Source organism: Homo sapiens, chromosome X, assembly GCF_000001405.40.
Source record: "Homo sapiens chromosome X, GRCh38.p14 Primary Assembly".
In the NCBI taxonomy this organism is placed as follows: Eukaryota; Metazoa; Chordata; class Mammalia; order Primates; family Hominidae; genus Homo; species Homo sapiens.
In genome coordinates this window covers 104675322-104700495 of record NC_000023.11, presented here as the reverse complement: position 1 = coordinate 104700495, position 25174 = coordinate 104675322, and the positions used below count along the sequence as shown (strand labels likewise).

At 39.9% G+C, this 25174-nt stretch overlaps 1 protein-coding gene across 1 annotated transcript in view, besides 2 other annotated features; it reads right to left on the bottom strand.

Moving 5' to 3' along the window:
• The window catches only part of IL1RAPL2 (interleukin 1 receptor accessory protein like 2), a 1201631-nt gene that overhangs the window by 1067334 nt on the left and 109123 nt on the right, over positions 1-25174 (bottom strand). The window lies entirely within an intron of this gene.
• Positions 10604-11105: an enhancer, noted in NCBI's record as "NANOG hESC enhancer chrX:103934072-103934573 (GRCh37/hg19 assembly coordinates)". NCBI's record gives its function as "activates a minimal SCP1, AML or CMV promoter by ChIP-STARR-seq in naive H9 embryonic stem cells {active_cell/tissue: H9 hESC(naive)}" and the evidence as "EXISTENCE:reporter gene assay evidence [ECO:0000049][PMID:30033119]".
• Positions 22709-23292: an enhancer, noted in NCBI's record as "NANOG-H3K4me1 hESC enhancer chrX:103921885-103922468 (GRCh37/hg19 assembly coordinates)". NCBI's record gives its function as "activates a minimal SCP1, AML or CMV promoter by ChIP-STARR-seq in primed H9 embryonic stem cells {active_cell/tissue: H9 hESC(primed)}" and the evidence as "EXISTENCE:reporter gene assay evidence [ECO:0000049][PMID:30033119]".

Below are 25174 nucleotides of genomic sequence, written 5' to 3'. Positions count from 1 at the left end.
CCATGCCGTAAAACTAGAGTCATGAGGAAATTATGGTCAAGAGAAAAATAAGGAGAAAATACAAGAGTAAGAAGAAAAGGGGATACAGAGAAAAGCTATACCAAGTACAAAATTAGAAAGCCAGTTTTCAGGAGGAGAGAAAGAAAGTAGGTCCTCTGAAAATCACCTATCCCGATATTCAGGTCTCTGAAGCTGCCCTGGATTCTGAATAGTATTCTAGCTTCAATCTCTATGTAGCCCAATTCTTTAACTGTTTTTGTTTTTCTAGCAGCTCAACTCTATTATATTTTCTGCTGATGTCAGAAAGTACTTCTTACTACCCCTGTGTCGTTAAGAAAGTAAATTTGCTTATCTGTACATTAGATTGTTTAATTGAAAAATGTCAATAATATTGGTATATCAGTATACATTATCCTCTTGTCATGAGTACTGTCTGAATATAAAGCCACCCAATCAGGGACTGCGTTTTCCTTTCACCCTTACAGCCAGATGTGGCCACATGACTAGTTCTCATCAATGGCTTCTGAGCAAAAGTCATATATACAACTTCCTCAACAATTTCTTAAAATATAGTTATTTACTCTGAACTCTTGCCCATCCCTCTTCCCACAATCTGGAATGAAAACATGCACACAAGGACCATGTCCTAGAGTAGGGGCTGGCAAACTTGTTCTATAAAGGGCCAGATGGTAAGGTCTCTGTCAAAAGCTACTCAGTTCTGGTGTTGTAGTGCTAAAGTAGACATAGATAATATATAAATGAATGGGGCTGGTTGTGTTCCAATTCGACTTTATTTACAAAAGCAGGCAGCAGGCCAGATTTGATCTGCCAGCCATAATCTATCAATCTGTGGTCTAAATCAGGGGTCCTCAAGCCCCAGGCCGTGAACCAGTACCAGTCAGTGGCCTGTTAGGACCTAAGCCACACAGTAGGAGGTGAGTGGCGGGCAAGCGAGCGAAGCTTCATCTGCATTTACAGCTGCTTCCCATTGCTGGTATTACTGCCTGAACTCCGCCTCCTGTCAGATCAGGGGCGGGATTAGATTCTCATAGGAGTGCGAGCCCTATTGTGAACTGTGCATGCATGTGAGGGATCTAGGTTGTGGGCTCCTTAGGAGAATCTAATACCTGATGATGTGTTACTATCTCCATCACCCCCAGATGGGACCATGTAGTTGCAGGAAAACAAGCTCAGGGCTCCCACTGATTCTACATTATGGTGAGTTGTTCAATTATTTCATTACATATTATAATGAAATAATAATAGAAATAAAGTACATGATAAATGTAATGCACTTGAATCATGCCTACACCATCCCCCCACCAAGTCCACAGAAAAATTGTCTTCCACAAAACCAGTCCCTGGTAAAAAAGGTTGGGGACCGCTGGTCTAGATGATGGCAGAACAACAATGGAAGGTATCTGGAGCTTTGAACTACTGCATGGAGCACAACTTCCCTACCAGCCTATACCAGCTATAATGTAATGAGAGAGAGAAGAGAGCAAGGCAGGGAAGGGGATGAGGAGGGAGAGGGACTACAGAGTGAGAATAAGAGAGAGATTGTCATCTCACTTAAGTCATTCTATTTTGTAGTCTCTTATAGAAGTATAGCCCTCACCCTAACTAATATACCTCTCTTCCTGAGAGCTGGTTTTCAAGCTTTTTCCAGATCCCAATGGACAAATATACTTGTTCTACATTATCCATTACTAAAGGCACCTTGAATAAGCCATAGAAATCAAAATAATCTAATTAAAAACAGGTGTCTCAGAGAAAAGGCCTACCAGAAATCTTAGACAGATATCATGAAAGCCGGCATTAAATTTGTACTTGTTCCAATATCCTTGCTTTCCGAAGGCATTTTCCTGACCCTCCCAACCATTATGATTGAAATGATCGAAGAAATAAGGGAGTTGATAACTATTTTTCATGCCAATCGAGGTAACACTATGACAATATACTATGAACCGGAGGCAGGGTAGCCTGGTGACAAACTTTGAGTTTGAGTAAGAATGAGACTAAGAATAGTTCAACAGAGCCATTAAGGAGCTACAACTTACATCTCTGTACAGGAGGACATTTCTGTGGTAGCCAGCTTCTAAAATGGCTCTCAATGTTTCCTGCCTCCTGACAGTCACATCCTTATATAAACCTTTTCTCTTTTCTTTGGGTGTTGGGCTGTTGCCTTTGAGTACAGTTGGACCTAGTGACTTGTTTCTAAGGAGCAGTATATGACGAAACTGATGAGATGTCACTTCTTAGATTCATTTACAAAATACTGATTTCTGTCTTGCTGGAATTTTCTTTCTCCCTCACTTTCCCACTTCGATGAACCCAGCTGCCATGTTGTCAGCTGCCCTATGGAAAGGGCCCCATGGCAAATAATTGAGGCTAGCCTCTAGCCAACAGCCGTCAAGGAACTGGTGCCCACAGTCCAACAACCCACAAGAAACTGAATCCTGCCAACCATCATGCAAGTGAGCTTAGAATTGATCATTCCCCAGTTAAACTTTGAGATGACTATAGCCCTGGTCAATCCCTAGATTGCAACCAATGAGAAACACTGAAGCAGACGACTAAGTTAAACCATGACCAGGTGTCTGACTCATGGAAATCTGTGGAATAACAAATACATATTGTTTAAAACACTAATTTTGGGGGTAATTTCTTATGCAGCCACAGATAGCTAATATAATTTCTGTCTATTCATTGCAGCTGGTTTGGGTCATAGACATCTTTTTTATGTTCTCATGACAGCCCAGAGTTCAATCATCCTAGCTGTTAATCACACTCTACTGGAAACTGCCTGGTTAACCTGGCTGCATCTCACCCTAGACTATAAGCTCCAAAGAGCAGAAACTGTATGTATCTTGTCCACTGCTGCATTCCCAGCCCTAACATAGTGACACTGGACAATATTGGCTGAATGGATGAGTGGGTGGGTGGGTGGATGCCACAGAGGTAATTGAAACCATGTGTTTTGTGAAATGTTGCTTAGGAGGTCTTGTACAAAAATAGCAAAACTGCCTTCTTATTTTACTGTTTCCTTCCTCAAACTGCAATAAATCTCAGTTCAGTGAACCACTTGAAGTCACAAGTTCAGTTCAACAGACCATGAAGAATAAAAACTGTGAAACAGAACTGAAGGAGGCTTAAAGTCAAGAGCAGTGTGTTCTCCAGAAAGCACCTCTTTTGTCTTTCAAAGGGTGACATATACCAAAATCCTATTTGTCCTGAATTCAGGAAACATTCAGACCATTTTACACAGTTGCTTAGGCAAATTATCCCGGCTCATGCAAGGGCAGCTTACTTATATTGTATATGTTTTTACTAGGTTGAATTTTTAACAGGGCTGAAAATTGAATTCTGTCTTAAATGTGTTAGGGGAGCTCATTATTAAAAAGCAACATATCATGTGCTCTCTAATAAAATGAATAATTTAGTTACAAAGTCTATAAACTGAGATTGCCACACCTATAATTTTTACTGTTTTATAAATCCAGATATTCACATATCAAGTTTACTTAAAGCAGAGAAATCTGTGATTCCCCCAGGACAGGGAAGCTGAAAAATCAACTAGACGGTGTGCCAAATCTATCCTTTGACCCTCCCTGCTGCAACCACTGCAAAAGTCAGATTCACTTCAAAACCAGCTCTGCCCTTTGACAAATAAATAACAGGAGCTCTAGGAGGGCTAGCTTCTGGTACTGCTTGCCTACATACCTCACTTAGTCAGGAACTCTTATGTGATGAAGTTACTGCATAGAACTTCATTTCCTGTAGAATCCCATTTTATTTACCTCTGAACTCTAACCTCTCCAATACTGGCTGGTCAACTATTCAAATCCCTGTGTTTCCTACTATGTGAACTCCACCCCCAAACCCTGCCAAATTTCATACTTTCCCTGTCTTAGATGGATAATTGGGATGTAGTTTCTGCCTTTGGCTAACAGTATTTGTAAATATCTGTCCCGCAAACTAGTGCCAATGAAGTAATAGCTCAGTGTTTTTCAAACTTTAATATGCACACAAATAACTGTATGCACACTTGCATTCAGCAGGTGTGAGAAGTGTACTGAGAGCCTGCATTTCTAATAAGCTCCTAAGTGATGCCAATGCTGCTGATACTTTGAGTACTAAGGGTGCAGTAACAAAACAATACCTTACACACAGAACACCTGGGTTCCTGAACAAGTTAGTTCCATTAGCTGTTTAACCTTGTGTAATTTGCTTTACCCCTCTCTTTTAAAAACAGGTGATAGCTTCTTCACAGTCTTCCCAATTAAATGCATGGGCTTGAAATGTAGTTCTACTGTTAATTAGCCCTGTAACTCTGGGCAATTTACTTACACTCCCCACTCCTCAGTGGATAAAAGCAGTACCTACTTTGCTGGGCGCAGTGGCTCATGCCTGTAATCCCAGCACTTTGGGAGGCTGAGAAGGGCGGATCACTTGAGGTCAGGAGTTCGAGACCATGCTGGCCAACATGGTGAAACCCCGTCTCTACTAAAAATACAAAAATTAGCCGGGTGTGGTGGCGGGCGCCTGTAATCCCAGCTACTCAGGAGGCTGAAGCAGGAGAATCATTTGAACCCGGGAGACAGTGGTTGCAGTAATCTGAGATCAGGCCATTGTACTCCAGCTTGGGTGACAGAGTGAGACGCCATCTCAAAACGAAACAAAACGAAAACCGCAGTACCTACTTCACAGGGCTGTTGTGAGGATTAAATGAGTTAATACTGTACAGATAAGGTACTGAGAACAGTGCCTGAAACACAGTAATCCCTAATATTATATTATATCTGGATGCCTGTTCTTCAAATACCTCAGCTCAATATTAGTCCCGTATTCTGAAAAGTGGATTTCATCTGACCTGCTATATCTACCTGGCCCACCTGGCTACTACTCATGTTATGGTTCTGATGCTAGGCCACCCATTAGATTCATCACAAGTTCACTCATCCCAAAGTTTCTCACTTTTTCATCTCAAAGTCTTCCCTTAGTCATATGCACATTCATTTCATATAAACCATTAGCCATACATAAACATATTCCTGTTATGGTAGAAGATTCTAGCTCTTCTACTAATGTCACTCATAGGAATGTCATGTGCTCTCGTGCTCGCTCTCTCTCTCTCTCTCTCTCTTTCTCTCTCTCTCCTGCTGCCCCACAAAAGGCAAAGGAATCTGGACTTTAGAGAGAAATTATATTCTGCTTTGCATCCTAGTTGATTTAACTGAAAAGAATAGAAGACTTTCTTCCCTCAGAAGTCCAGAAAGACTCATGCCTTTTCACAATTAGCACTAAAGATTAGGTGATAGTCACACAAGCTAGGTCCCTGCCATGGCAAAGGAATCATCTCACTGAAAATTTTCTAGCCCAAGTATTACCACCTAATGTATTTATTGGGAGTGAAGGTAGTGTGTAATGGCAGAAGTAGCAGACCAAGACACATCAATGGATTGTTGAGTGACAGTGAGAGCCCAGCTGAGGCTGGACATTATCAGTTTGTAATGGGACCAACTCATATTGTGGGATCAGTGCTGCAGAGCCCTACTCATTAAAGCAGTTTACTGATGAAGCTTTCAAGATTTTTAATATGGTCACTGCGTGGCAGAATCATTTCAGGGTAGCTGGCCCAGTCCTTGCTGATAGAGACAATTAGTTTGGGGAAAAGCAGGATCTATCCAAATTCTAGCCACTTTCTCAAGTTTTACTCTTACACTCCCCCTTTCCCCCTCAGTTGATCAACCTTACCTCTAACTTAGTTTACAAAATGGAAGTCACCTTGACTGTCACCCAAACCTATCTTGCGTGTATCCTCAACTTTTTTTCCTTCCCTACTTTTAGAATCAAAGAACTGTCTCTATTTTTTTAGCCCGCCCTCCTGGGCTCTGGACCCCATTCCCCTTCACCTTCTAAAGGTCTTTACTGCATTAATTACCCCTCTCATTTCTAGATAGTCAAAATCTCTCTCCCATCTACAAAGAGTTCTATAGGTTACGAACAGAAGTGACATCAACTAGAATAAATGGTACAGAACAATAGAGAATGGCAAAATACTTATATTTCAGGTCAGAACATTTAACCAGTCTTAGCAGCACTAGATAACAGGACTAGTGAATGGTCAGGCTATTGTCCACGTGTCCTGTTTATACTACCAGCTAGGGTGGGGGATATAGTTCTAAGTCCATAGTTGTTAATTACAGTCTGAAGAAACCAAATGCCTGGTATGAATTCTGCTCCCAAATAAGGAGGAGGGTGGGCAGATGTATTTCACCAACTTCCTACTGACAAATTCTGAGGAACAATGAAAAGGCTTGCAAGAATCACAGGTCCTGGCAAGTCTGTGTGCAGATATGTTCACGATATGCATGGCTTGGCTACATATAGCTCATAAAATCACAGCGAGAAGTGCCATGTTTTCCACAGAGCTGCATATGAGGTTCCCCCCAAATGCAAATATATTTGCTATCCCCAACAGGGTGAGAACAGTTGGGGATATTAAAAATGAAAGGCAATTTTAGTTTTGGCAAGATTGGCTAGACAGTTCTTTCAGAGTCATTATGAGCTATTACGGTCTGCATTATGGAATCAATCCACAGAAGCCAAGCTTTGGCCACTTAATTGGGACATATGGAGGCTGCTCTAATATTGGGGGAGCTGAATTACAAAGGCAGAGCTAAATCCAGAAATGATTCCCATATTTCAGTCCTAAAAACTGGATGGCTGAATGTTTTATGGCTTAGTTAACATTTTCAAAACATAAAATTTTCCCCAATAAAAGGATGACTGGGGTCCATTCCTGCTACAAGGTTCTTCTTATAACCAAAGTGAATTCTCTGAAAATAGGAAATTTAAATCTATGATTAAAGAACAGCTCAAACATCTGTGTGCTTTAGTCCAGCCAAGTTATCACCGTGTGGCAGTCCGTTTCTGCAAATGCTCCTCAATGAAGGTGACCCATCATGCAGCAAACCCCTGAGTACTGGCCAGTGCTTGACAAGTGCCTTTAAAATAAGAGTTAGCTAACTTTAAAATGTAATGTCCTATGTGCATTTAAGATCCTCTACAGATAACCTAAATACAAACCTATTGGTCCCTCAAGTGGATCCTTGAAAAACAAAGCTGATATGGATAGACAGGGTAGAGGGTTCTAAGGAGGAGTGACAGAATGAAGAAAGGTAAAGATAGAAGAATGGGATGAAGGGTCCAGCCAATCTTGCCAATCTTTGAATGGTCCAGTTTTTTCCTAACACATGTACAATGGTATGAACATGATGCATGCTTGACAGGGGATGATGACGAAAAAGAGATGAAAACACTGTATGTTTATACACAATTTTCAAAAAGTTTTAGGGTATACCTGTGCATGTACACCCTACATTTTTCTTTCATGGGCTCGAAAGAGTCCAGCAAAGTCTGCTTCTACTGTTAAAAATATAATCACACCAGTTAGAATGGCGATCATTAAAAAGTCAGAAAACAACAGGTGCTGGAGAGGATGTGGAGAAATAGGAACACTTTTACACTGTTGGTGGGACTGTAAACTAGTTCAACCATTGTGGAAGTTGGTGTGGCAATTCCTCAGAGATCTAGAACTAGAAATACCATTTGACCCAGCCATCCCATTACTGGGTATATACCCAAAGGATTATAAATCATGCTGCTATAAAGACACATGCACACGTATGTTTATAGCGGCACTATTCACAATAGCAAAGACTTGGAACCAAGCCAAGTGTCCAACGATGATAGATTGGATTAAGAAAATGTGGCACATATACACCATGGAATACTGTGCAGCCATAAAAAATGATGAGTTCATGTCCTTTGTAGGGACATGGAGGAAGCTGGAAACCATCATTCTCAGCAAACTATTGCAAGGACAGAAACCCGCATATTCTCACTCATAGGTGGGAATTGAACACTGAGAACACATGGACACAGGAAGGGGAACATCACACACCAGGGCCTGTCGTGGGGTGGGGGGAAGGGGGAGGGATAGCATTAGGAGATATACCTAATGCTAAATGACGAGTTAATGGGTGCAGCACACCAACATGGCACATGTATACATATGTGACAAACCTGCATGTTGTGCACATGTACCCTAAAACTTTAATAATAATAAATATATATATATATAATCCTCTTACAGTACATTGTCCTAAACTCTATAGCAGTGCAAAATAAGGTGTATTGTAATTTTTGTGTGTAGCTTTTTGATAGAAAAAGTGCATATATCCAGATATGGACTACATTTGATATATGGCTGTCTTTGTAGTACCTAGACTATTTTTGCTGAATGGATTAGTGAATAAACTATGATGTCATTTGTCCCATCTATATAAAAGGGAAACTGAGGCACCAGTAATTTAAAAGACTTCTCCTAAGGCAAGAAATGAGATATTATTAATTGTTCTTCAGGATAGTGATGTGCTAACCAGTAACACACAAGCAAGAGAGCAAGATTCCACTTCTAACTTGCAGAGTGACTCTGGTCTGGCTGTTTTACCTAACTAGGCATTGTTTTCCTTTTCTGTAAAATAGAGCCATCTGGTGCTTGAGAAGACCTGACTGTTCAGGTCCTTGTTCTGTCTGGATGAATACTTATGGCTCCTCACTCTATCGTTACCATACAGATATAGGTGACTCAAAACAGACTACCACTGAAAAAACAAAAAGTCAGATGCCAAGATCCAGTCTTATCTATTTTGGAACAGAATTCAGGGTCTCAGAACATAGCAGTAGCGTCCTTGTTTCAACTCTCGCTGGCAAAACTAATTCCTTTCTAGAGACTCAGTACAGTTGCTTACAGCTCATTTTGGTTTCAAGAGAAAATGCTTCTGGTGTTCCTCTGTCTATAAAGCTAAACAAAATGCATGAACTACTTTATTATATGAAGGTCCCTGCTGTCTTATTAAGGTCAAAACTTAATGGAGAGAAATGTCATTAAAATTTGTAAATTTACCCAGAGGTGGTATTCATTTGTCTTGTCTGTCATTTAATAACAAACTAGAAAGATTCCAACAAATAAATAGACCAAGGCCCTTGGAGTTTAACCAAAACAGCCATATGTCCTGAGGTATAAATGAGTCTGTTTTCACAACTGAGGTGACAGTGAGCATCCAACATGGTAGACCTTTAAAGAAATCCCAGAGCCTGGTAAGTATGAAAGTGGTAGAGGATGACAGAGAAGAAAAACTAACAGAGACAGGATGAGGGGAAGAAGGCTTCAGGGAGAAGCTAGGCCCTGACGTGACAAGAGGCAGCATCTGCTTTAAGCAATGTGATACACATGGTAACCATTGCAGAGCTCCTAAAATGGTTGATTCCATTCTTTAGCCTTATTAATTAAAAGCCTGCAAATATCTGGAACCTCTACTGATTGCAGATCTTACAATCTACCGATGATCTTGGTTGGGGAAATATTCAAAAGAGCCAAAATCATTCTTACACTTTGCTCTCTAGACTTTTAAATTGCTCTACCCCTGGACATTAACCAATTACAAATGACCAGGGGCCATTTATTGTCACAGCACCACTCTCCTAAGCAAAGGGTATGGAAAGCAGGCTGGATGCCTTTGTATCAGTGCTTGGCTCTACTTCAAGACATATTTCCTAATTCCATTTATCGGGGATAGAGAGCTGTGAACAAATGTTGCACTTCGCCAAACAAGAAATAAAGGTCTTACCCTTGGGGAGTTTCTTATCTAAATGAAAACAAAAGGAGCCCTAGGAATTGATAAACACCTCATCTGGCTGTTTTCACTAAAGATGCCAGAACCAACTGAGGATTTCTGAGAAGAATGAACAAGAAAAGGAAATTTTAAAGGATAGGCAAGAGGAAGAGAAGATAGGAGAGTACGATTTTATTAAAACTCCTCGTTGTAGTCTTCAAGTTGCCTCTTAAGGAGGACAGATTGGCCAGGTGAAAGAAAGGAGATACAAGACTTACAAATTACCTATGCATTACCACTTGAGGCTTTTGCAGTAGCTTGGCAAGCGTGGGATAAGAATAGAGCTAGTAAGTTGGCTGTCATATGCATTGTCCTGTTTGAAGTATAGTCATGCCATCTCTGATGTCACCATTGGCTTTCTGCCAGGGAAACTAAGGCATATTTTTGGAACATTTCAATATGAACATCTTCAGCAAGGCCCTTGGCGATATTGGCATAATTTATTAACAGATCACATTTGAGAAAGCATTTCACAAGGAAGAAAAGGAAGAAATAGTTAAATACAATTCCAAATAAACATTTATTGCATTAGGTTTGCTATCCATTTTTCCCTCAAGGCAATTATTCTTGAATAAATGAGTTACTGAATAAACAAAGCCCTTATTATAAGTCAATTCTTCCTATAGACTTTTTTCATGAAAGCAAATTATTGTGTTGCTCATAATCCATTATCTATGTAGAAATTTGAAAACCATATATTTTATCAGGCAAATTTATTCTCCAGAGTTGGAGCCAAGCATACCAACCAATTGCGCCACACAAATGCAAATTTATTCTCATAAATAAATGTACCAAATGACATACAGATAACACAGGGGAACAGTGAGCCAAGTCATGGACAGGTGGAATAGATTTGCCTTATTAATGTAGTTCTTTTCACCTATATTTTAAATACCTTTGAGGTCATTACCATCTATGTGTATTCTACTAATGAGCTTTAGCCTCCACTGAAGTTCTATCACTTAGCATTGATTAGAAACTGACTGCTTAATTTCCCAACCATTAATGAGGCACACTTTCTCTCATTAAGTTGAATCTTCCTTTTGTTAGTGATACTAATCCATTGATGACTCTTTAGCATATCCTGGTGAAGGCTGCTTGCCCGTAAAACCAAAATATGGCACAGAAACTCAACGGAAGCTATACCAGCAGTGCTGTGGCCCTTGGATGTAACTGACAAGTAACTGACACTAATAACCTCCCAGAGAATTCCTTTTGTCTACATCTTTTCACACACATTTTATGTGTGTGTACACTGACCTAGGGGCAGCTCTTGTCAAAGAACTAACACTGGACAGCTTGCCCTTTCCAACTACCAGAAAGTGACCTTCTGGGCTGTACACTGTTCTGTTATCCTGCTGGCTCTACCTGCACTAGCCCTCTCAAAGTGGCCCAGAGGACCCTGAAAATTAGGTAAGCATGTGCCTCATTTGGTTGCAGGACCCAGTTAATGCACCCCACGTCATGGTTTAAAATATCACAAGGTCTAGTCAGTCATTTTGTTCCATAGGTCACAATTGAACTTGTAATCCTGCTTGGTAGCAATGAAAATGTGTTACATAAGTAACAAGAAAGATCAGATGAAAGAATATATATAACACCACCAAGGTCTTACATAAAAATCTACCAACACATATTTAGCGTGTACTTATACGTTGGTTTTTGGATTTGCAGACTCAGCACTCATAAAGGCATTTCCTTCTCTCAGGGTCTCTGGACCAACTTTGAAGGTCAGATGGTACTAGGCGCACATTGGGCTTAGACTTCATGGCCTAAGGATTGCTTCCCATAGATATGGCTAATTGGGAAACAACAGTTGTAATGCATTATCTTACTTTGTTATTTTGCTCTGAACTAGAACTTTTAAAATTTAAAAAGCTGTTTTAAAGAATTCCATTAATTGGAAATCATTTTAAATATTAAAAAAGTTAAAATAGTTAATAAAATATTCAATAATTTTAAAAGATTAATATTTAAAAATATAAGAGCCAGGTATTGCTCTCATTAATCCTCAACTGTTACCAATCAGTGCTGAATATAATTCTAGTTTTTCCTCCAAAAGTGACTTGGGTTAAACAAGAGAGGTGAAAATCTTAGTAGGAAGAGGTTATATGAAAAATATTAAATCATTCCATGGCAGCCCCACTGTAAAAAGGCAGTCCAGCAGCAGGAAGAATCACATTCATTTCCTCATTCATTCAACAAACATACACTTATCCCCTACCATGTGCCAGGTACTGCATTAAGCGTTGGGGGTGTAGGATCAGTAGAGAGGCATGATTTCTGCCCTCATAGAACCCAGAGTCTAGTGGGGAGATAGCCATTAAACAAATAAACATTGTGATAAGTGATCTGAAGGAAAAAAAAGCAGGATACTCCATGTCCCTCTTGAAATTCATAATACATGTTAACATATCAAAGGCCCTGATAAGTCCTACTGTAAAAAAAATCCCTTTAACTTTATTGAACACAAAAACTGGGTACACCTAATTTTGGGGGTGGTTAGTGACAACCTCTCTGAGAAAACAGCATTTAAGCAAAGAAACAAAGGACGAGTAGGAATAGAAAGACGGGTGACAGAATATTTCAGACAGAGGGAATTAGAATATGCCTCGAGCAGGAATTAGTCTGAAACACTAGAAGAACTGACAGTTTGGCTACAGCAGCAGGAGCCTGGCGGGGAGAGATGGGCATGGTTCAGGTCATGCATAGTTGTGTAGGTGATGGTACAGTGTTCAAATCCTGAATGTGATGGTAAGTCTTCAAAGGTTTGCCGCAAAATAGTAGTGTGGCACAGTTTTGGTTTTTTGTTGTTTCTTTGTTATTTAGAACGAACCTGGCTGCAGCATAGATAGGAGTTTACAAGAAGATAAGAATGGAAGCAGGAAAATGAGTATGAGGTGACTGTAATAGTCTAGCTGAGGGATGATGGTGGCTTGGACTTGGTAGATAAGCAACATAGATCCAGTTCTCCAGGACACATATATAAACTTATAAGTTGTTTTAAGATTAGGTAGTATGGGTTATTTAAGGACAAGATAAGGCCAGGGCAAAGACAGAAATTTTTGAAATTTGATCCAATTTCCAAAGTTAATAAGCATGGGTTCCATAAGAAACTCATAGGATAGCATGTCCCAAATGGTGTTCCATCTCTCCAGATGGCCCTTGGGGAATGATATAGTTTGGATATTTGTCCCCACCAAATCTCATGTTGAAATTTGATCTCCAGTGTCAAAGGTGGGGCCTGGTGGGAGGTGTTTAGATCATGAGGGCAGATTCCTCGTAAATGGCTTGGTGCCATCCTTGAGGTAATCAGTGAGTTCTCACTCTATTAGTTCCCACAAGAACTGATTGTTAAAAAAGAGCCTGGCACCTCCCCCCACTCCTTTCTCCTCTCTGGCTGTGTGATGTGCACGTGCCAACTCCCATTCACCTTCTGCCATGACTGGAAGCTGCCTGATGTCCTCACCAGAAGCAGATGTTGGCACCATGCTTCCTGAACGCCCTCCAGAACCCTGAGCCAAATAAACTTCTTTTTCTTTATAAATTACCCAGCCTCAGTTATTCCTTTATAGCCATACAAATGGACTAAGACAGGAGAAAAAATGCCTCCATGCTCCAATACACTTGGAAAAGCTGCACACTCCAAGTCCTTGGTAAATCCTATAGTAGAGAAACACCTTCAACTTTTTCTACCCACTGCTCTAGAGCTTTTTTTGACCATAGAATCTTCTGTTTCGTGTAGCACCTATTGTACGGTTGTTGCAAGCACTGAAGGAAGTCTTACATGTCAAGTGCTCAGCACAGGATCTGGCATGGAGTAAACATTGAGTATTAGTTGTAGCTGTTGTTAGAATTGGTATTTACATTGCTTCCATAAACAAGTCATAACATCTAGGAACAGATGTGGGAAGCATAAATTGCTCTAACAACTCCTTGAGAACGTTGGTTTAAACGGTGGGAGAGTTCAGGCCCAACTGCTCAATTCTGTCTTGCCTGATAAGCAACTCTGGGAGTGTATTTATGTTCACCAACAGGGCTTTATTCTCAAGATGAATAGAGAAAACCTCAGAGATAAAGTGTTGGGGAAAACTTTGAAGACAAATCTACGCTTTTTATGCAATGAAACTTTCTTCAGGGGCTGACCAGGAAACTTAGCTAGCTGGACCCTATCTATTCAGTGATTCTACCCTTCCCAGGAAACTCTAAGCCATGAGTTTTTGAAGCTCAGGGCAAACAAACAATTTCTAAAATATTCAGCCAAATTTCTAGTCCCTCTTAGATCAATAGATTTTTTTAATAGGATGCCCTTCTTCTGGAATTATTGGTGCCAAAACAAAAAGTATCTTCTCTTAGCTTTCAAGTTATGCGCTACTTACCAAGCGTGAAAAATAAGGCCAGTATTTGTATGTACACTCGGTTACATCTGGTTCCTCTGTGTAAATAGCCTTTCATAAAATGATATGAATATTTCATAACACCTTAAGCACTAAAGAAAACTACAGATGACTGCTAGTTATGGAAAAGTGGAAAAGTGAAATAAGAGAAATAATAAAACCTACTGTCTGGTGGTACCCTTTAAACTTAAATACACAAAATGTTCTCTCTGACCAGAAAAGCAGAACTAAAGACCCCTCTTTGGGACTACTCTCACATTCTGATTTTGTTTACGGTAACTAAGGAAATGTTGATCTAAAGAATATGACAACAACAAAACAACTGCCATCTATTGAGCATTATGTCATATAGCAAGGCCTATGTGGATGTTCTTTTTTTTTAAGTTTTTATTATTTATTTATTTATTTATTTATTATTTATTTATTTTGAGACAGAGTCTCACTCTGTTGCCCAGGCTGGAGTGCAGTGGCGCAATCTTAGCTCACTGCAAGCTCCACCTCTCGAGTTCCCGCCATTCTCCTGCCTCAGCCTCCCGAGTAGCTGGTACTACAAGCGCCCACCACCACGCCTGGCTAATTTTTTTTTATTACACTTGAAGTTCTAGGGTACATGTGCACAACGTGCAGGTTTGTTACATATGTATACATGTGCCATGTTGGTGTGCTGCACCCACTAGCTCGTCATTTACATTAGGTATATCTCCTAATGCTTTCCCTTCCCCCTTCCCCCACCCCAGGTTATTCTTTCTACATGTTTTCTCTAGTTCTTACAGTGACTCTTGCCCAGTAGATAACTTCACTGTAGAGAAGAAGTACTGATGATTCAGCAATGTGCTCAGGGTTTCATAGGTAGTCACCTATTGCATATATCAGATTTAAATCTAAGTAGGTACAGCTCCAGAGCAAGGCCCCCTCAATTACCTCTTTCTTAGTTATCTAACTTGGCCGAACAGGTACCCACATTACACAGAAATAATGCATGTATATTGAGCAGGTGCAAATAGATAAAAGCATATCTTACAGCAAGAAGAGAACAAATTTTCACAATTAAGTTGAAATGGAACAGGAACAATTTCCTACTGCTCAATTAGTCATGGAAGTCTTGAAAGAAGAGGATAGGGGTAATGCCTGAGTGGACTTTCAAGGTTACTGTTTCTGTCAGTTAAGAGAATCAAAAGGTAATAATCTTTTACCTCTTGCATGCATCTGGCAAACAAGTGAGTGTTTAATTTATATTTATTGAACAAATAAACCTAGAAGCTTGAATTTCACATAGCAACTATTAACTCTACGTATAATCTACCCACTCCCTTCCTGTCTCTGTCTCAATTTGCCTTCCTTCTGCTCCCTCATTCTGCTCACTTTAAAATGGATTTAAATATTTTTGAGCAAAGAATGCTGACCCTTGAGTTGAAGAGGAAAACAGAAGCTATCTTGGCTGACAAAACTGATAATCCATAACTCCAAACACAGTGCTGCCACAGCTTTTTGGGCAAATCAGAGTGTGGAAGTTAGATTGTCAAACGAACCCTGAATACAATCCTCCTATAAGCAATCCAAGATGCACTTTATTCCAGCAAAACCAAATAATTTTTGGTGAGTGTCTCTGCCATGCCTACACACCCACTTCTGATGCTTCATAAATGAACAATGTCACAACAATTGTACTGCCAATCATCTTCTCCTGCAGGTTTTCAACAAGAAGCCTAAAGCATTTGCTGCTTTATTCCCATAAGGTCAAGCCACAGCGCAAGCTCTTCAGATGACCCTAAAGATCAGGGCAAGGCACAAGCCCCACTCTGACATTTTATAATCAAGGCCTCCAACTAGCTTAGTGGAAGGGTTTATTTGTACTGTATGGTGTCCCTGCAGGAGGAGATTGGAACCAGTAAGGAGATGTACATTAGGGGTTTTAGAAAATTGATGTTGGTTCCCTGCACCTCTGCATCAATTTAGCATATGAGCTAGAGCCAACTTACTAGTTTCTCCTTGGGTTTCTGGCTCCTCATCTGTGACGCTGGAATGAGAGTGGTGACTGGTTGCATGACCTCTAGCCATTAGGTAAATGGAAAATGCTACACACAATCAATGCTAAATAGTAACAAAATCCAAGAAAAAAATCAGGTCATTCCCATTGAGAAATCATCACACTTTGAACCACAGATCAGTGGATACCTGAAAATAAAACTCATATTTCAGACCAAATGTATTTCCCCCTTTTCTGGTCCATCTCTAGGGTACTTTATGTCTTCCTGTCAGCCTATTAGGAGCACTAATCGTGCTTCTTATAGTAAACAATCGATTGAGTTTGAAAGGATGAGAGATAATAAAATGATAAAATGTACCCTGGGTGTGACTCTTACTTGGATCAATTTAGCTTTTAGTATATAAGCAGGCAATCATTTATAGAAAGTCCAGCTCCAGGTCTAGGGAAGGAAAAGTAGGTGAGGTGGAGGGTCTATTAATAGAACTCCATATAGTCCTGCCCAGAACTATTCACATACCCCCACCTCAATCTCCATGAGAAGGAAAGCCAGACTCTTCTATTCCTGGGCTCATAATTTTCACATCTTTAATCTAAAGCTACTGCTGAGTTGACATGAATAGATGCAGCCAGGTGGCCAAGAAGATAGCTGCTTACAGCAATTGATCAGATTGTTGCATGATCATTCAGTTCAATCAGCAACACAAAAAGCCATAATATTGGATCATGAAACAGTCGGTGGAATCATTTCACCTACCTGAATGACTAAATTATATCTATTATGCACTCTCACCATGTCAGTGCATATGGTTTTCAAACAAAATATTTCACAGAAGCATATCAAACAAAAGTGAAGCTGCTGTGGTTGAAGTGGAGTGGGTGAGCCCAAAGTCCCCGTCATTCTGCTTCTTTCTCTGACCTCTGTATTAGCCCCAGAAGTGCCTCCAATGAACCCCTAGGAATGCACAGAAGACAATTTGAGAACAATTTGGATGAAGCCCAAACCCCTCATTATTTTTTTCATGAGAATGCTAAGGCTCAGAAAGTACTTAACCACAGTGCTATAGATAGAGTGATATTCCCAGGACTAGAATCAAGGTGTACAGAATCTTCATCCAGCACTTGATCCATATGGATTCTTTACATGTGGCTGAAGTAGATCAGGTCTCTGTTCTATGGGTACAACTATGCCAGGCAGGGAGAAAAGTGAGGAAGATTGTGCAGTAGGGCAGTATACAGCAAGTGTACATCCCAAGAAGTGAAGTGTATATCAGGTGAAAGCTAGGTATACAGCAGAGCATTTCTTTTCCATAGATCCGGTCCCTTCTTACCAGAGCATGGTTAGCTCCTTTCAGAAGCAATGTCAGGCCAAACGATTCTATACAGTGCTTGGCAATTAGCAGTTATAAGAGCAAGAAGCAGTCACATTCGAATTTGGTTCAAATTCCAAACATAGCCTTAAAAAAATAAAACCCTTTTTAATATCTGAGGAGATAGGACAATCTTTACATATATGTTTATAGAAAAATCTCATTTAACTAGAATTGCAACAATCAGAATGCTCATACAACCGGATTACTTCTTCTCCCCTAGCTGTTTTGAATAATTATTAACATTTATGATAATAACTTCAAGACACTGTAACTTCCAGCTTCTTCTAGCTTCTTCCAAACCTCTAAATATGTTCATATACTCATTCATTCAATGAATATTTATTGAGTAGCTATTATTTATTAGGCCCTGACTCAGGCACTAAGGAATCTAAGCTATTCTTGGGAGTCCACTGACAGTCTTCCCAGAATGAAACTTCAGCTGAAACACGAATGTGAGAATCACAGAGGTGGAGGTGAAGACATTAGACAAAATGATCTCCAAGAGATTTCAAAAGCTAATATTCCATTATTCTCTGATTCTATTCTGTTGATTGGCTGTATATGTATGATATAATGAGACTATTTTGATTTTTAAATTTGGGATGAATATTTTCCTTTAGTTAACAAAGCAGTCACCTATGTTAGTCACCAGCCATATAGTCTACCAACTAGCACAGTTTTAGGATCTATTGTAATTTTTTGAAATTTCTGTCCTAATTGTGCCTTCATATCCAATTTGTTTGCAAGCCAAAGAAACCCTCTATTACCTTACAGTTATAACATGATTTTCACAGAAAATATATTACCACACTGACCTACTTAGTAAGATATGGGTGCAAATGTATGTTGGTTATTTTGTTGTTGTTGGCTATCTTAAAGAAGCAAATCACACTCAAAGGTTAGGTCCAAACTGGAGTTACCCAGATTATGCCATGGGTTCTGAAGGGAGTTCTCAAATAATAGATGCAAAAACATTTGAGTAATGACAACAAAATTGAAATAACTATATTTCAGTTTTGGCCTCCCAGATGATGAAGGTGAAAGAGACAATCCTCACTTAGATATTTATGGGTGGTCATTCTAGCCATTCAACAAATTAACTTCATTACTTCCAAACTCATTCTTCCCCAGGAGGGACATGTGTTCAACACATAATTAAGAATGAAAATGAAGAGTCCAAGATGAAAGGCAAATCAGCAAAAGAGTCCATGCCAGCCTTGGTGTATCACAGAAGTGGAATTTTAAGCCCAAGGGTGGAAACTTAGAATTTGAAGGAACCTCAAGATATCATCTGGCTGAAGCCTTTGCCTTAGGTAAGTAAGTCTCTAACCTACACAGGACATGATTCTATTAGTTTAAAAGAAAATTTCTTCAAATGTCAACCTAAATCTCAAATCATCTATTTCTCTTGAATATAGAAGACAACTCTTCTTCATCAAAAATACCTCATTTGTTTCAGGTTATCCTTAGACTTCTTTATTCCAAGGAAAAATAATTGCAGTACTTTTAAACTTTCGTCCTAGAGCTTATTTTCTTTCTCTTTCTCACGTTGTTCAGAGTGGCTATGATTTGCATTCTTCCCACAGCAGAGTCCAAGGTCACCAAAGAGTAATAACACATTTACCTATTGACCCTCAGGGGAACTTGTACTTCTCCAATAAAATTACTAATGTGTTATGAACTTCGTTTTAATAACATGCTGACATAAAATATGCAATTAAAATTTTAAATTAAGTTTTTCTGTATTTGATGTTATAAATTAAGTGAATTATTTGGTATGAGAATATACATTTCAGTGTATTAAATTTATTGAGAGTATTATATGTGAGGGGGAAAGACCCTGATCAATCAAAGAAAGAGATCAATTTAAAAGCTTTCATATGAAGCAAGACAGAAGTTAGTAAAATTGAATTGGATACATCTGAATGATTTGCTTTAAAAGTATATTTTTTGCTCTGACAGAACTCGCTGTGCTCTAATTTCAGATACCCAAGGATAAAAAGATAAGAACTGTCCCAGTGTTAATAAAAATGGTTAATTTTCTTCAGACACAATACAGTTGTTGTGTTAAATTGGTTTCAAAGTTTGAAATACTATATAGATAAATTAGATAAGTTGTAAAATAAAATAATGGGCATGGATTCCAAGTTATGAATCCAAGTTAATATTCCAAGTTAAGAATCTTTCATATAGGGCAGGGAAGAAATTGGAAAGAATTTAAAGAGGAAGTAGACTGCCCTCATTTCATTCTAAATCAAGAAGATAATGTTTGGAAACACAAGAAGGTCAGAAGGTAAACAGAAGGATGGTACAGGCCTCCTGAAAGTAGAACTATCCAATGATTCATTTTATAGAAATTTTAGTGTTTTTTTTTAATAACTTCATGTCTTTGGGGGTAGTTCCCCTATAATCTGCAGGGCCCAGAGCAAAATGAAAATTCGGGCTCTATGTTTAAAAATTATTAAGAATTTCAGGATGGCAACAGAAAAGCATTAATCCAAGTACAAATTCCTTTTAAGTGTGGGGCTTAGTGCAGCTGCACAAATTGTATGCTTATAAAGTTATCCCTGATTGAGGATCATATGTCCCTTTGAAAATTTTATGAAAGCTATCGATACATGCATACACTCACACATGCCCACACATACAATTTTGCATACAGTTTCAGGGGGGTTGTGGACTCATTTAAGCCTTGTCCAGGGATTCCAAATTAAGAACCACTGGATTAGATTGATTCCAGGAGGCAGAGCTAAGACCCATTAATAGGAGTTCACAAAAGAACAGATTTTAGTTTCCTAACAATTAAAGGCATTCCAAAGTAAAGAGTCTGCTTTACTAGGCACTTTGTTTTGCAAGTGTAACTGTCAGCTGGACCATCACTTGCATGGTGTGCTCTCAATGGGATTCCTACACTGGGAAAAGGCTGGATTGAAAAACCTGTCTGGTCCCTTAACACATTAAGATTTTGTGAGTGTAACTATAAGGAACTATGAAATTTTCTACCCCATAGCGCCTCTTTGCCCACCCCATTTTCTGATGGCTTGAATATACTTAATTTCAGCTGTCCTGATTTATTTCATTTTCCTTGACAATGTAAAGGTTGAGCTTCCTGAATGCCAGGTTTATGTAAATTAACCTGAACCTATGGGTTTATAGAAAATCAACATGTTAATTTTATGCAAAGTGATGCAAAAGATCATTCCCCTGCTTTCTCAGAGGGAAAAAAATCTGATTACTTTCTCAAACGGACATTCAAAGCAGCATAAATAATCAAGAATGTGAAAATGGCAGACAAAGCTCTTACCAAGAGCAGCAAAAAGGGCACCAAATCCAAAGTGGTAGATCCAAGAAGCCTGATGATACAAGTGATTTCTAATAAAATCCATGAAAAGTCAGAGAATATGACAATCCCCATCATAAAATTCAAGGAATAAAAGTGCAAAGATAAAAATCCTAAAACAACATTAGGAAAGAGGAAGGTAAGATTACCCAGGAAACGGAACTGTTTATTCTCTTCCTTGTTCTTGTATGCAAGAGAGTTAAGCCGCACAGCCTGGGCCTCAAAATGCTGTGGTCAGTGTTCATACCTTCTAAGAGGAAATGGAAAGGCCCCTTGCAGACTGAAAAACAACTGCAAAAACAAAGGTCATTCTGGCCACAAATTGTTAAGGCCCCTAAGGGTGTTTTTATCTAACATCCTGGTCATGACATTCACCAGAAGTGATGTGTTTCCTGTTTATTTTTTTAATCAGCAGGATGAGTAGGTGAGCCACATTTTAGTGTCATTCATGGGCTCCAGTCCATATCTTGAAGGAACAACTAGAAAAGGAAGGGACAAAAGTACACAACGGGTAGTGGATTTTAAACAATTGTGTGCTAAGGGCCCCTTCACTGTACAGTTTACATTTTTATGACATTAAAGATCTAATCAGGATGTAAGGTAAGTTTCTTTAGTTCAAAATCAGATTTTATACATCTCCGCACAAATTGATCAGCTCTTTAAGAAAATTGAATTCTTTTTTTATTATTAAACTTTAAGTTCTGACATACATGTGCAGAACATGCAGGTTTGTTACATAGGTATACACGTGCCATGGTGGTTTGCTGCACCCATCGACCTGTCATCTACATTAGGTGTTTCACCTAATGTTATCCCTCCTCTCGCCCCTCATCCCCCAACAGGCCCCATGGGTGATGTTCCCCTCCCTGTGTCCATGTTTTCTCCTTGTTCTCCTTGTGTCCATGTGTTCTCACTCATAAGTGGGAATTGAACAATTGAACTAATTCTAAGTAAACTGAAATTAGTAGCAACAGCTTTGGCCAAGTTGTAGTTAGGTGAAGCACAGAGGATGTGCGAATGACACTTAGGGACTGAATAAAATGGAAAGAGGTAAAAGAAGTCTAGGATCTACTATCAAAGCAGAAATTAGAGTGACTGAGGAAGAGCTCAAAGAGCTGGGAGACTCGACTTTGAACAAAAGTAAAAAGGAAGGATGAGATGCAGTGGCTCTATAAAAAGGCTAACTTAGACGTAGCCAATAGAAGCATGCTGATAAAAATCAGGCCTTCCTACTCCCCTGACAAATGGGGTTCTACTTCCTTTATATTGTCATTCTACTGCATATGCTGTGTAAAGGAAAACACTACCACAAATATTTACTCTACATAGGTTTAAAAACTGTTCACCACCATTCTCCCTCTGGTATTGTTTTGTCTAATATTTTGTTGCACAGGCATAAGTTTAAATATGGGATCCCACGGTCTAGATTGCAGGAAGGTACTTTGGCTGTTCATTTACACAGCATTTTCTTAAGGCTTTTTGTAATTCCATGCTGTATAGATGATATTTTCTCTTAATAAAAAGAAAGCAATTTTGGGGGGAGGAGCCAAGATGGCCGAATAGGAACAGCTCTGGTCTACAGCTGTCAGCGTGAGCAACGCAGAAGATGGTGATTTCTGCATTTCCATCTGAGGTACCGGGTTCATCTCACTAGGGAGTGCCAGACAGTGGGCGCAGGTCAGTGGGTGCGCGCACCATGCGCGAGCCGAAGCAGGGTGAGGCATTGCCTCACTGGGGAAGCGCAAGGGGTCAGGGAGTTCCCTTTCCGAGTCAAAGAAAGGGGTGACGGAGGGCACCTGGAAAATCGGGTCACTCCCACCCGAATACCGCGCTTTTCCGACGAGCTTAAAAAACGGCGCACCACGAGATTAAATCCCACAACTGGCATGGAGGGTCCTACCCCACGGAGTCTCGCTGACTGCTGGCACAGCAGTCTGAGATCAAACTGCAAGGCGGCAGCGAGGCTGGGGGAGGGGCGCCCGCCATTGCCTAGGCTTGATTAGGTAAACAAAGCAGCCATGAAGCTCGAACTGGGCAGAGCCCACCACAGCACAAGGAGGCCTGCCTGCCTCTGTAGGCTCCACCTCTGGGGGCAGGGCACAGACAAACAAAAAGACAGCAGTAACCTCTGCAGACTTAAATGTCCCTGTCTGACAGCTTTGAAGAGAGCAGTGGTTCTCCCAGCACGCAGCTGGAGATCTGAGAACCGGCAGACTGCCTCCTCAAGTGGGTCCCTGACCCCTGAACCCTGAGCACCCTAACTGGGAGGCACCCCCCAGCAGGGGCACAGTGACACCTCACACGGCAGGGTATTCCAACAGACCTGCAGCTGAGGGTCCGGTCTGTTAGAAGGAAAACTAACAAACAGAAAGGACATCCACACCAAAAACCCATCTGTACATCACCATCATCAAAGATCAAAAGTATATAAAACCACAAAGATGGGGAAAAAACAGAACAGGAAAACTGGGAACTCTAAAAAGCAGAGCACCTCTCCTCCTCCAAAGGAACGCAATTCCTCACCAGCAACGGAACAAAGCTGGACAGAGAATGACTTTGACGAGCTGAGAGAAGAAGGCTTCAGATGATCAAATTTCTCCGAGCTATGGGAGGACATTCAAACCAAAGGCAAAGAAGTTGAAAACTTTGAAAAAAATTTTGAATATATAACTAGAATAACCAATACAGAGAAGTGCTTAAAGGAGCTGATGGAGCTGAAAACCAAGGCTCGAGAACTACGTGAAGAATGCAGAAGCCTCAAGAGCCGATGTGATCAACTGGAAGAAAGGGTATCAGCGATGGAAGATAAAATGAATGAAATGAAGAGAGAAGAGAAGTTTAGAGAAAAAAGAATAAAAAGAAATGAGCAAAGCCTCCAAGAAATATGGGACTATGTGAAAAGACCAAATCTACGTCTGATTGGTGTATCTGAAAGTGACGGGGAGAATGGAACCAAGTTGGAAAACACTCTGCAGGATATTATCCAGGAGAACTTCCCCAATCTAGCAAGGCAGGCCAATGTTCAGATTCAGGAAATACAGAAAACGCTACAAAGATACTCCTCGAGAAGATAAACTCCAAGACACATAATTGTCAGATTCACCAAAGTTGAAATGAAGGAAAAAATGTTAAGGGCAGCCAGAGAGAAAGGTCGGGTTGCCCACAAAGGGAAGCCCATCAGACTAACAGTGGATCTCTCAGCAGAAACTCTATAAGCCAGAAGAGAGTGGGGGCCAATATTCAACATTCTTAAAGAAAAGAATTTTCAACCCAGAATTTCATATCCAGCCAAACTAAGCTTCATAAGTGAAGGAGAAATAAAATCCTTTACAGACAAGCAAAGGCTGAGAGATTTTGTCACCACCAGCCCTGCCCTAAAAGAGCTCCTGAAGGAAGCACTAAACATGGAAAGGAACAACTGGTACCAGCCACTGCAAAATCATGCCAAAATGTAAAGATCATCCAGACTAGGAAGAAACTGCATCAACTAACGAGCAAAATAACCAGCTAACATCATAATGACAGGATCAAATTCACACATAACAATATTAACTTTAAATGTAAATGGACTAAATGCTCCAATTAAAAGACACAGACTGGCAAATTGGATAAAGAGTCAAGACCCATCAGTGTGCTGAATTCAGGAAACCCATCTCACGTGCAGAGACACACATAGACTCAAAATAAAAGGATGGAGGAAGATCTACCAAGCAAATGGAAAACAAAAAAAGGCAGGGGTTGCAATCCTAGTCTCTGATAAAACAGACTTTAAACCAACAGAGATCGAAAGAGACAAAGAAGGCCATTACATAATGGTAAAGGGATCAATTCAACAAGAAGAGCTAACTATCCTACATATATATGCACCCAATACAGGAGCACCAAGATTCATAAAGCAAGTCCTGAGTGACCTACAAAGAGACTTAGACTCCCACACAATAATAATGGGAGACTTTAACACCCCACTGTCAACATTAGACAGATCAAAGAGACAGAAAGTCAACAAGGATACCCAGGAATTGAACTCAGCTCTGCACCAAGTGGACCTAATAGACATCTACAGAACTCTCCACCCCAAATAAACAGAATATACATTTTTTTCAGCACCACACCACACCTATACCAAAATTGACCACATACTTGGAAGTAAAGCTCTCCTCAGCAAATGTAAAAGAACAGAAATTATAACAAACTATCTCTCAGACCACAGTGCAATCAAACTAGAACTCAGGATTAAGAATCTCAATCAAAACCGCTCAACTACATGGAAACTGAACAACCTGCTCCTGAATGACCACTGGGTACATAACGAAATGAAGGCAGAAATAAAGATGTTC